At 61.1% G+C, this 10,546-nt stretch overlaps 2 protein-coding genes across 5 annotated transcripts, besides 11 other annotated features; both read right to left on the bottom strand.

Annotated features, from left to right (window-relative positions):
• Positions 196-345: an enhancer, noted in NCBI's record as "active region_10955". NCBI's record gives its function as "activates an Ori minimal core promoter by ATAC-STARR-seq in GM12878 lymphoblastoid cells {active_cell/tissue: GM12878}" and the evidence as "EXISTENCE:reporter gene assay evidence [ECO:0000049][PMID:35858748]".
• On the bottom strand, positions 539-6,719 carry HSF4 (heat shock transcription factor 4). Of its 4 annotated transcripts, none has more exons than NM_001538.4 (15): positions 6,628-6,719; positions 6,336-6,461; positions 5,546-6,039; positions 4,850-4,958; positions 4,634-4,761; positions 4,410-4,534; positions 4,085-4,160; positions 3,858-3,922; positions 3,258-3,360; positions 2,881-3,019; positions 2,533-2,656; positions 1,544-1,649; positions 1,379-1,444; positions 1,132-1,201; positions 539-849 (listed from the first exon to the last, which is right to left on the bottom strand). In NM_001538.4, the coding sequence occupies exons 3-15, from the start codon at positions 5,666-5,668 to the stop codon at positions 695-697; spliced, it is 1,389 nt and encodes a 462-aa protein (NP_001529.2). In that variant the 5' UTR covers positions 5,669-6,039; positions 6,336-6,461; positions 6,628-6,719; the 3' UTR covers positions 539-694. The 4 variants fall into 4 exon arrangements, with proteins under 4 accessions (NP_001529.2, NP_001035757.1, NP_001361603.1 ...); NM_001040667.3 differs by having other exon boundaries at positions 2,533-2,760; positions 2,881-3,005; NM_001374674.1 differs by lacking the exons at positions 6,336-6,461; positions 6,628-6,719 and having other exon boundaries at positions 5,546-5,735.
• Positions 836-885: an enhancer, noted in NCBI's record as "active region_10954". NCBI's record gives its function as "activates an Ori minimal core promoter by ATAC-STARR-seq in GM12878 lymphoblastoid cells {active_cell/tissue: GM12878}" and the evidence as "EXISTENCE:reporter gene assay evidence [ECO:0000049][PMID:35858748]".
• Positions 5,620-5,914: a silencer, noted in NCBI's record as "tiled region #11796; HepG2 Repressive DNase unmatched - State 4:PromP". NCBI's record gives its function as "represses a minimal TATA promoter and a strong SV40 promoter by Sharpr-MPRA in HepG2 cells {active_cell/tissue: HepG2}" and the evidence as "EXISTENCE:reporter gene assay evidence [ECO:0000049][PMID:27701403]".
• Positions 5,631-5,870: a silencer, noted in NCBI's record as "silent region_7587". NCBI's record gives its function as "represses an Ori minimal core promoter by ATAC-STARR-seq in GM12878 lymphoblastoid cells {active_cell/tissue: GM12878}" and the evidence as "EXISTENCE:reporter gene assay evidence [ECO:0000049][PMID:35858748]".
• Positions 6,112-7,060: an enhancer, noted in NCBI's record as "H3K27ac-H3K4me1 hESC enhancer chr16:67197323-67198271 (GRCh37/hg19 assembly coordinates)". NCBI's record gives its function as "activates a minimal SCP1, AML or CMV promoter by ChIP-STARR-seq in naive H9 embryonic stem cells {active_cell/tissue: H9 hESC(naive)}" and the evidence as "EXISTENCE:reporter gene assay evidence [ECO:0000049][PMID:30033119]".
• On the bottom strand, positions 6,306-10,523 carry FBXL8 (F-box and leucine rich repeat protein 8). Its single transcript, NM_018378.3, has 3 exons — positions 10,424-10,523; positions 8,543-8,745; positions 6,306-7,632 (listed from the first exon to the last, which is right to left on the bottom strand). Exons 2-3 carry the CDS (start codon positions 8,692-8,694, stop codon positions 6,660-6,662), a joined length of 1,125 nt encoding a protein of 374 aa, NP_060848.2. The 5' UTR covers positions 8,695-8,745; positions 10,424-10,523; the 3' UTR covers positions 6,306-6,659.
• Positions 6,896-7,015: a silencer, noted in NCBI's record as "silent region_7586". NCBI's record gives its function as "represses an Ori minimal core promoter by ATAC-STARR-seq in GM12878 lymphoblastoid cells {active_cell/tissue: GM12878}" and the evidence as "EXISTENCE:reporter gene assay evidence [ECO:0000049][PMID:35858748]".
• Positions 7,061-8,009: an enhancer, noted in NCBI's record as "H3K27ac-H3K4me1 hESC enhancer chr16:67196374-67197322 (GRCh37/hg19 assembly coordinates)". NCBI's record gives its function as "activates a minimal SCP1, AML or CMV promoter by ChIP-STARR-seq in naive H9 embryonic stem cells {active_cell/tissue: H9 hESC(naive)}" and the evidence as "EXISTENCE:reporter gene assay evidence [ECO:0000049][PMID:30033119]".
• Positions 7,366-7,465: an enhancer, noted in NCBI's record as "active region_10953". NCBI's record gives its function as "activates an Ori minimal core promoter by ATAC-STARR-seq in GM12878 lymphoblastoid cells {active_cell/tissue: GM12878}" and the evidence as "EXISTENCE:reporter gene assay evidence [ECO:0000049][PMID:35858748]".
• Positions 8,083-8,595: an enhancer, noted in NCBI's record as "H3K4me1 hESC enhancer chr16:67195788-67196300 (GRCh37/hg19 assembly coordinates)". NCBI's record gives its function as "activates a minimal SCP1, AML or CMV promoter by ChIP-STARR-seq in primed H9 embryonic stem cells {active_cell/tissue: H9 hESC(primed)}" and the evidence as "EXISTENCE:reporter gene assay evidence [ECO:0000049][PMID:30033119]".
• Positions 9,293-9,382: a silencer, noted in NCBI's record as "silent region_7585". NCBI's record gives its function as "represses an Ori minimal core promoter by ATAC-STARR-seq in GM12878 lymphoblastoid cells {active_cell/tissue: GM12878}" and the evidence as "EXISTENCE:reporter gene assay evidence [ECO:0000049][PMID:35858748]".
• Positions 10,403-10,542: a silencer, noted in NCBI's record as "silent region_7584". NCBI's record gives its function as "represses an Ori minimal core promoter by ATAC-STARR-seq in GM12878 lymphoblastoid cells {active_cell/tissue: GM12878}" and the evidence as "EXISTENCE:reporter gene assay evidence [ECO:0000049][PMID:35858748]".

The following is a 10,546-nucleotide window of genomic DNA, read 5'->3' as shown; positions in this document are numbered from 1 at the left end:
GGCTGCTGGGAATAGGGAGGGTGAGGGTTCTTCCCCGGGCACTAGGAGCCACACCGCGGAGGCCGCGCGCTGGCTGGGGACGTGCATGTAGTCAGCTTTCCCTCCCCACCCGGGGCGCACCAGGAGATGAGGCCAGGAGGGGGCAGTTCGGCCCGCGGCCCCACACGTCCAGCGCCCACTCAGGGCCTGCCAATTTCCAGGTGCTTTCCATCTATCTTGTCATCGACCCCTCTTCTCTGCCTGTCACAGAGGAAGTTCAGAGAAGGATACCAACTCACCAGGATCACAGAACGCATGCATTGCAGAGCTGAGCGCGACCCAGAAGCCCCCGCTTCCCAGAGATTGCAGCGGCCCCGCGCCAGCCCTGGACCCGGGCCTAAGCAAGGGAGCTAGGCACCGGATCCCCAAGCACCTCCACCCTCCTGGGGTTCCTCTATTAAAAACCTAGTATCTGGACGCTTCTACAAATGCAAAATCACCCCCCACCCATAACTCCTGTGCTCCCTGGTCGATAGAGAAAAGAGACCAGAAACAGAAAAAAAAAAAACGGAGTTTATGTGCAGGGATAGTCGGGGTAGTGGAGAGAGGCCATTTAGTAGTGGGGGCTTCGCTCACCCCCGATAGGGGGCGCCAGGAAGCCAAGAAGGATGTGCAGCGGCGGACTGGTTCCAAGCCCCTTCAGAGGCGCGGGGTCTTAGGGGGAGGGACTGGCTTCCGGGCCCAAGTAGGAGGCAGTCCGGCTCTCAGGAGTGCTATAAATGGTTAAAGCCCCAGGCAGGCCCAGGGCTGGGCCTCCCAAGGCCGCCTGGACATCCAGCAGGAGTGGGGCCCCGAGCGTGGGGTCCTTCCCTAGGAGAAGTGGGACTGCGCTCACCAGGGGAAATGTTCCCCCTCCTTTCTTCAGGGAAGGAGAGCCCTGCCCGCCTGCCTTCTGCTCAGTTAGGATAAAACATCCATTCTTAACCTCCCCACTCTCGCCCAATGGTGAGGGCATGGGTGGCTCAAGGAACGCTCTGCAGTGCAGCCTGAACTCAGGATTTCCCTGCAAATTGCAGATTGCCCCCTCACTCAATCAAGGTAGCTCAGCCCAATCACGGCGTCCTCCCAGGTAGGAGTCATCACAACCATTACCTGGGCTTGGAGAATTTAACCCCTTGACCGCCAGCTCAGGCTCACCCCGCTCTGGAACCAAGGGCTGCATCTGCGTGAGAACCGCAGGGAGCAGCTGGGGAGGGGACCTAGCAGCTGAGGGGGACAGCTGGGAAATCACTGTGACAATTCTTCTAGAGACACGGCTTTGGCTCACAGAGAACAGCTATGGACCAGAGGGCTTGACTCAGCCACCCCTGGCCTCTGCCCTCCCCGACCCACTTCTTACCAAGGACAGCTCCATGTCCAAGTCCATCAGGGTCCATTCTCGCCCTTGGAGACTGGGGCCCAGCACCTGAGGAGAGCTCTGGGTCAGTGGTGCCCTCCCCAGGCTCCACAGAGAGCTAGACCCCACCAGGTCTCATGCCCCTGTTTCAGCAGAAGGGGTACTCACATCTAGAGGCCCTGCAGGTTCCACACTTTCTTGAGGGGGCTGAAGCAGCATCGGAGGCAGCAGACTCTCTGGGCTCCTGTCCCCGCTTTCCAGGCCCAGAGGCCCCCTGTGCAGACAGAACTGCTTTTGGCCTGCAGTGTCCACCCCGCATTAAGTTCCCAAGGAACCCAGATGCATCAAGATTTTAATCCCCCAATCTTTAGAAAATGATAGGAGAGGATCCCCATCCTCTCTCCACCCCCAACCTCCCCACTCCTGCCATAAATGGCACAGAGAAAGTGCCTCTGCTTCCTACCTGGGACCTGAAGTTTGGGTGGTGGAGCTGGGGCTTTGGGACCCTTCCCCTCCCTATGCAAGTATCAATATCCATGCTTCTTTCTCTTCTTTCTTTATTTCTTTCTTTCTTCCTTTCTTTTTTCTTTCTCTCTCTCTCTCTCTTTCCTTCTTTCTTTCTTTTCTTTTTTTTGGAGACAGTTTCACTATGTCACCCACTATGTCACTATGGCACTGTCTTGGCTAACTGCAGCCTCCACCTCCCAAGTTCAAGCGACTGTCCTGCCTCAGCCTCCTGAGTAGCTGGGACTACAGGCAAACGCCACCACACCCAGCTAATTTTTGTATTTTTAGCAGAGGCGGGGGGTTTCACCATGTTGGCCAGGCTGGTGTTGAACTCCTGACCTCAAGTGATCTGCCCGCCTCAGCCTCCCAAAGTGCTGGGATTACATGCATGAGCCACCTCATAGCCACCAATGCTTCTTAAACTATTGTGTACTTTGCAGTCACCCCAGGGAACTCATTTCATATGTAGGTTCCTAAGCCCTTCCGCAGATGCTGAGTGCCCTGACTGGGAGGCTCTGCTTTCCACAGAACTCTGATGCTGGGGCCAAGAAATCAGGTGAGTATCATGGAGTCAAATGGCTAGGAAGCTTTGTGGGCTGGTAAGGGCTGTTCTATCACAGGGCTCATGGGCCAGCTGGGGCTCTGCTCACCTGTCAGGTATCTCCCTGGGATCCCCTGGTTCAGGCTGTTGGGCATTCCTGGGCCCCTCGGGGCTGAAGCTCCCTTTCCCTTCCAGGATGGCCTGCACCACAGCCACAGGCAGTGGCGGGGGGGCTGTCACGCAGAAGTCACACTCGTTTGGGGCCAGGGCCAGCCCGGCCTCGCCATCCCCCCCTGGACTGGCCGGCTCTTCTTTGAGCAGTGCCAGGCCCTTCTCCCTGCACCAGAGAAAAGCTTCAACCAGACCCTGGCACTGACTTCTCCCTCTACCCCTACAGCCATCTGGGCTGCCAGGCCCTCCCCCACAGGCCCCTCAGGGGCAGCCCTGTCCCCCTTACCTCCTGCCATCACTGGAGGGAGAAAGCCTGGTCCCCTCAGGGGATGGAGAGTCTTCTGGGATGTCAGAGATGATGGGGCCCCTGGCCCTGTGAGGGCTAAGGCCCAAATTTGTCTCTGGGAGAGGCTGTAAGTAGAAGGCTAGGCCCAGCCCTTGGCCTGTAGGCACAGGGAGAGCCAGAACCCCACCAACACCCACCTGGGCCAGGTCTAAGGGAGAAGGTTTGAGGGAGGAGGCTCAGTCCATGCTGGAGGGCCTGGGTCTGGTTGGGGGGAAGGCTGGCTTCCATCTTCTCTTCCTTTTAGGGGATGGGGAGAAGGAACAGGCTCTCCATAAGCCCAGCCATGCCCTTGGGAAGGGGGAAGAAGACAAACCTACCGACTGGATGAAGTAGGGGTCCTGCAGAAGGGCACCAGGTAGAGGGCAGGTGTTGAACTTGGCAGGTGTTGGGCATGAGCTCCCCTCATCCAGCATCAGGGACCTGTGTGGTCGATCAGGGCACAGGCAGGGGTGGGGCAGGGTCAGCCCCCATGCACCTCGGCCTGCACTTCCCTCCCTCCCTCAGGCCCCAGCAGCCAAGTCAGCAGAGCTGAGGCCTGTTGCTAGGGTGTCAGTCACATGCTGGAGGTGGAAGGGGCTCCCCCTAGAGATGGGGGCCCTTTGTGGGTAGAGAGGGGAGGGAGGGAACCTGGTTTGAGCCCCAGGGTCTCAGCTGTTGGGAAGCCTTGCCGGAGGGGGAAGGGGCTGCTGGGGTAGGAATTTGGGAATAAGGTCCTGGAATGGGAGGATCTGGGAGTGGGGATACCAGGTGGCAGAGTTGGGGGGAAGTGGATCCTAGATGGGGTGAGGAAGCCTGTAGCGCAGGGGGAGGAATGAGGATTCCCGGTGAAGGAGTTTCCAGAGGAGAAGGGGTCCTTGCAAGGGGACTTCTGGGGGGTCTTGGAAGTGGGTGTGGGCCTTCTTGGCTTTCTCACTCACAGCTTTCTCTTGCCTCCTGCATTGCTCGGCCCCGCCTGAAGTGGCCCAAAGAGACACTGGATCAGCTGAAGAGAAAGCAAAGGTTTAATTCATACTTTGGACACAGCCCCCCCACCCCCGCACTTCCAGGTGAGGGAGGAAGGCTTAACAGGGGCGCCGGGGGACTGGGCGGTGGAATGGGGTGTCGAGGAGTGGGAGGGAGAAGCGAGGCTTGGGGAGAGGAACACCTTGCCAATGACCCGGTGCTGCTGACCGTGGCTCTGCCGAAGTGTCACCACCTCCCGCCACAAGATCTCGTTCTGCCTGAGGAAGGGGTGGGAGGGTGCTGAGGCATCTGAGAGTTCGCCCAGTCACCACCCCCCACAGAATGGCGAGGCTGGGGACCCAGGAGACCACCCCGCTGACTGGCCATCCCAGAGATCGCCCATAAGTCTAGATGGAGGCGCCAAGGCAGGAGAGAGGAAGGGGCTGCCCAGAACTGCTGGCCGGCCAGTTATGGTCTCATCCCGAACCCCCCACCCCTGTCCCCTCTTTCCCCGCCCGCCCCCGCACTGCCTGAGCTCCCGCAGCCGCGCCTCGGTGCTCTCCTGCACTCCCCGCAAAGCCTGCACCTCGCCCAGTAGTCGACCCAGGTCCTCCGGGCGCCAGCGGCCGTCGTCGCCGCGCAGCGCGGGCACCTGCAGGCGGGAGGCACCGTCGGGACTGGGTCGCAGGAGCAAGGCAGGCAGTCCCAGCACCCCTCCTCCTCTTTGCTCATTCCCGCAGGCCGCCCCCACCTTGCGCCGCACGCGCTCCAGTAGCTGCTCGCGGCCGCGCACGAAGCTCGGGTGCTGGAACTCGACGTGGTCGCGCTCCGGCCTAAGCAGGCCGCCCTGCTCGATGCTCACCACCTTCCGAAAACCGTCTGGGGAGTGGGGCGTGGGGGCGTGGGTCGCCCCATCCCCGGCACCGAGTCCCCCATCCCCGCTCCCCGCCCGGCCGTAGGGACTCACACATGTTGAGTTGGCGCACGAAGCTCGCCATGTTGCTATGCTTGAAATACTGGGGCAGCACTTCCTTGGCGAAACGGCTCTGGTCGCTTACGAGGAAACTGGTCCCGCTCTACCAAGAACGCCGCCCGCCCACCGTGCGGGCGGAGACCAGGAGGGTGAGCGGTGCCCGCTCACGGCCAGTCCTGCGCTCCAGCGCGCGCACACACTCATGCTCACTCTTGGGTCCAGGCCTGCCGCTTACGGGGATATGGGTCGAGGCCAGGCCAGAACGGGCTCCGAGGCCTAGCCTGGAGCGACCACAGTGAGTCCCTACCCCCAGCCAGACCCTGACTCCATACTCAGTTCTCAGAAAGGAGAGGCTGACGGGGTTCCCAGCCCCGCAATGTGACCCTGAGCTAGACCAGCCCTTCCCATCTCCCGGCCTCTGTTTTCCCATCTGTCGGATGGGGTAGGGTGGGAACTAAATGGCCTCGAAGGTCCCTCGGACTCTAGGTCTTCAGAAGGCAGGCTCCTAACCCTTCTTCGGCCGCAGAGGAAACCCCCCTCTCGCACACCCCCTCCAAGGTGAACTTCTCTGAATGGCCAAATCCGGGGATCCACGGCCCAGTCTCAGGAGGGGGTTGGGCGGGCATGGGTGTTCACTGACGTGGAGGGACCCCGGGACCACAGGGGGAATCGAGGGGCCCCGGCCCTCACCGGGCTCCAGCGGATCAGGTGGTCTGTGCCTGGGTCCCCCACCAGCGCCCATAGCTTGCCGAGGAAGGCAGGCACGGGGCTGGGGCCTGGCTCCGTGGGCAGCGCAGCTGGCGCTTCCTGCATGGTGCAGTCTCGGCCCGGCTCTGCGCTCGGGCCCGGCCGCTGCGGGCTCGTCAAAGCCGCGGAAAGTGCTGCGTTTGCCGCCCGCTCCGCCCTACTCCGCCCCGGGGCGCCGGGTCAGGCGGGGGCCACGTGCAAGCCCGCGGGGCGGGGCTCGGACAGCGGCCGAGGCACCAGCAGGCAGAAAAGGCTGGCTGGATGGGATGTGTGGAGTGGAGTGGAGTGGAGGGGTGGGGTGGGGTGGAGTGGGGTGGGGTGGGGTGAGATGAGTGGGAGACTTGGGTTCGAGTCCCACCCCTCTCGGTCCCTCTATTTCCTTCTTTGTTCTACAGGAGAAATCGCCGGTGCGCGACCTGGTGTGGGCTGGGCAAGTCCTAGAAGGTAATGGCCAGAGGCACAGTGAAGCCCCAGGCAGGGCAAGCAGATAGGAAGGGGGGGCAGGGAAGCACGCCCCCTCCCGCCGAACCCCGGGACGTAGTCATTCCAAGGGTGTGAGTGCCCCGACCCTGACCCCCCGCAGCTGTGTCGTCCAGAGGCTCTTGAGGAAACCCAACCTCTGCCGGGATGGCTCCTCCGGTACCCCGCGCGTTCCCTGTCCTTCCCTTTCAGATCCGACCCCGCCTTTAATAGGACGCAGAAACACTGCAGGATTTGTTTATTTCACACTCACCCTTGAGGCCCGGCCCGCGCCCGTGCCCTCCCTCTCCCTGCGCCGGGGCCGCGGAGCTGCAGAGTCCGCAGAGGGGTGGAGGCAAGAGAGGGGGGCAGTGTGTCCAGGACCGAGCGGGTGGGGCGTCTGCAGAGGGTGAGAGCAGCGAGTGGTCTCAGGGCGCCCAGGACTGGTCCCGATGCCATCACAGTTCCCAACTCGGTAAAGACCCGGGGGGCAACAATCCCAAAAGAAGGCACTAGCACTCGGGGCGCGCCTGGACACCCCCCCCGTTCCCTCTCAGAGCGCTTACGTCCACGGGGACGGGGGAGAGAAGTCGCCCAATCACGCCACGAGCGTAGGCCTCCAGGGATGCGGCTCGCGCGTGAGCTTGAGGGTATAGGTGCGCAGGCGCGGGCAGTGCGCGCGGAAGGCGTCCAGCACCGAGTGGCTCACCACGCAGAAACAATGCACCTCGCGCAGGGCCGCGCAGCGCGCCGCCAGCTCCTCCAGCGCGGCGTTCAGCTCGGCCGAAGCGGCTGCGCGCACCTCGAGCGCGCACAGGGTTGCGGCGTAGTGGTGTGCTGCGAAGCGCACTGGGCCTACGGTGTCGCCTGAGAGGTTGAGGCGCAGCGCAGCCACGGGGACGGCTGGCTGCAGGACGCGCGTCACGCTCTCAGCGGGCAGCGCGGGCTCCAGCTCCAGCTCCACTGCCAGCCCAGGGTGGCGGCGGCGCAACGCGACCCAGGCTTCGTTGGGCAGCGGGGACGCGCGTGCATCTTCGGGGCACGCGCACCGCAGAGCCAAGAGCGCGAAAGGCGCTCGGTCTGGCGCCGCCAGTGCTTCGAGGATGGCGTGCGACAAACTGGCTAGGTGCAGGCCGAGAGCGCGCAGGCGCGGGCAGGCCTCCAGTAGCTCGAGCACTGAGCCGGGACCCACGCTGCCCACTAGGGTACTGTTGTCCAGAAAAAGGCTGTGGAGCTCGGGACAGCTGCGCGCCGCCTGCAGCACCAGCGCGTCGTCCAGTGTGAAGGACAAGCGCCGCAGGTCGAGGTGGCGTAGCTGGCTGGCCGCCCCGCATACAGCGTGCACAGCCTCCAGGACGTCGCGGCCCGCGTCGAAGAGCGGTTTTTCTCCGCGGCACTCCAGGCGCAGGCCTCGCAGCCCCGGGGCACGGCCCGCCAGAACCATCAGCAGCTCGATGGCCGCCCGGCGGCTCGGCTTCCTCGATGGCTCAAATTCCAGCCGTAGGTTGTGAATGTGGTCGAGGCAGGCGGACAGATAAGGTGGCAGCATGCCTTCCAGCTCACATTCGCAACTTGGGTTAGAGCCGTGCAGAAAAGGCCTCAGCTGAGTCCCTGCGACCAGCGGAGAAGCCTCTACCCACCCCTTAGCTGGGGTTCCAGCTGCCATCCCATTTCCTGCCTCCCTCCCCACGTCTCTGTTCAGACCACGACTGTTGCCCCAAAGGAGGGAACTCGCATCCTATCCTTTTAGAAGATTTCAGTGGCGTCTGCCACAGGATGAAACCTGGACATGGAGAGCCAATGATATTTTAGGAACTGGGCTTTCTCAGCTGTCTCTAAGGAGTCTTGGCATGGCCTCCGGACTGCTAGGTTCGAATTCTGCCTCTGCCATTCCCTAGCTGAGTGACCCGTGGGAAGTGATTAAGTCTCTTTGCCTCAGTTTCCTATCTGGGCAATGGAGGTAATGATAATACCTATCTACCACACAAGGTTTTCATAAGGATTAAATTAGTTAATATATGTAAGGCACTTAAAAACAATGGTTGGTATATACTAGGCAGTCAATACGTCAGCAATTATTATTATTATTTTGAGATAAACTGTTACTCTGTCGCCAAGCTGGAGTGCAGTGGTGCCATCTCGGCTCACTGCAACCTTTGCCTCCCGGGTTCAAGCGATTCTTGTGCCTCAGCCTCCCGAGTAGCTAGAATTATAGGCGCCCACCACCATGCCCGGCTAGTTTTTGTATTTTAGTAGAGACGGGGTTTCAGCATGGTGGCCAGGCTGGTCTCAAACTCCTGACCTCAGGTGATCCACCCGCCTCGGCCTGCCAAAGTGCTGGGATTACAGGCATGAGCCACCACGCCCGGCCAGCAATTATTTTTTAATATGGGGGAGTCAACCTGAATATCTACCTAGCCCACGACTCCACGGAGAAGGTGAGTGGGCGGTGGGGAGAGGAGTGTGGAGGAGCAGGCTCACCTGATTTTTGTGTCGTGCCACACGGCGCTGCAGGTAGCAGCGGCGGCCCAGGCCCTGCAGACCCTGGCGGCGGCAGCACGGTCTCTCAGGGACAGGTGGCGGAAGATGAGTGCCAGCACCTCCTCTGGCAGTCCCTCTCCAGGCTCGGCCATGGCCCAGATCCGGCTGGGGTGGGAGGATCCGCCACTCCCAATAGCTCCGGCCTGGAGAGAGACGGACGTCTCTGAGGTCGGGAAGGCGCAAAGTGTTGCAGGAAGACCGAGCTTAGGTGTACAAATGCTTGTGGCCTGAGGAACTGAGGGCCTCTCAGACAGCGTGGGGCATCAGATAACCCCGAAACTTGTTCACAAAGCAGATTTCACCGCCTCACCTACTAAATCAGGCTCTCCGGAAAGGGTAAGGCCCAGGAATCTGCATTTCAACAAGCCCCTGTGACTCCACAGGTTCCACGTTGAGAACTCCCCTCCCACTTTTTTTTTTTTTTTTCTTTTTTTTTGAGACAGGGTCTCGCTCTTTACCCAGGCTGGAGTGCAGTGGCGCAATCACAACTCACTGCACCCTCAGTCTCCCGGGCTCAAGCAATCCTCCCACCTCAGCCTCCCGAGTAGCTGGGACTACAGGGGCACGCCACCACGCCTGGCTAATTTTTGTAATTTTGTTGCAGAGACGAGGTCTCGCTTTGTTGCCCAGACTGACCTCGAACTCCTAGGCTCAAGCGATCGGCCCGCCTGGGCCTCCCAAAGTGCTGGGATTACGGGCATGAGCCACCGCGCCCGGCCTGAGAAACCCCATCTTAACCCCGCCGGTTAGTAGAAAGTGACTACAGGGTTAATAAGGCGGGAGCGTTAATGTAGGCTTTTCTTTGTCAGGGACCATGAGCCAATCAGGAAGCGAGGCGTGGGCGGGGCAAAGCTGGATCCACCCCTGGAGGGGAGGCTCCTTCCCCGCCTCCGCCTCGCCGGGGAGATGTCCCGGGTGCTTCCTAAGACAGCCCCACTGGATGAAAAAAAACTTGGGTCTCTGGGACCTGACGGTTCTGGGGCCTGAGGGGCTCAAGATTTAAGTTCCGACCCCTGAGCAGCCCTGGCTCCCGCTGAGCAATTTGGGTTCGGCTGGAACTCCGCAGACCCACCCTGGAGCGCAGCCTTTAGAGGGGGATGGGTTACTGGAAAGTGTGCGTCCTCTTTGAAGTTGCCAATCCTGTTTGTTTTTGTTTTGTTTTGTTTTGAGACGGAATCTAGCTGTGTCGCCCAGGCTGGAGTGCAGTGGCGAGATCTCGGCTCACTGCAAACTCCGCCTCGCGGGTTCAAGCGATTCTTCTGCCTCAGCCTCCCGAGTAGCTGGGACTCCAGGCGCGCGCCACCTCGCCGGGCTAATTTTTGTATTTTTAGTAGAGACGGGGTTTCACCATATTGGCCAGGCTGGTCTCAAACTCCTGACCTCAGGTGATCCACCTGCCTCGGCCTTCCAAAGTGCTGGGATTACAGGCGTGAGCCACCGCGCCCGGCCGCCAATCTTGTTTTAAGGTTCTTAAAGGTTTGTGTACACAAGGCTTCACACTACTCGCCAGTTAATGTTCCCATATCTTCCGGGCTAACAGTTTCTCCCGGAATTTGTGCCACGTGTTTCCTGGGGCTTCAGATACGTTCGGCCGGGCTTGTACCTGGGACCCATGGGCACCCCGTTTTGAGTGCCCACTGGTAGCAGCGATCTTGAAGCCGGATCCCCAGGGGTACCAGAAAATTCTGGTCTCCAGGGGGCGCCCCCTTGATTTACCGAAGTCTGGCAGCTGTAGCTCTTACGAGCCCCCCGCCTCGTAAGAATCGCAAACCCCCAAAGTCGGGTCTTCCTGCCGTCTAACCTTGGGCGCTGGTGTCTTACCTGCTCGGCGGACCAGATGGGCTTTGCCCGGGGCAGGGGACTGGCAGCAGAGGACAGCGGACGGGAAGCAGCCACCGGGAGCCCGCGGGGCGGGACGCGCGGGCGGACGGGGCGGCTCGGGCT

The sequence above is a fragment of the Homo sapiens genome, chromosome 16 (assembly GCF_000001405.40).
Source record: "Homo sapiens chromosome 16, GRCh38.p14 Primary Assembly".
In the NCBI taxonomy this organism is placed as follows: Eukaryota; Metazoa; Chordata; class Mammalia; order Primates; family Hominidae; genus Homo; species Homo sapiens.
This window is presented reverse-complemented; position numbering and strand designations above follow the sequence as displayed.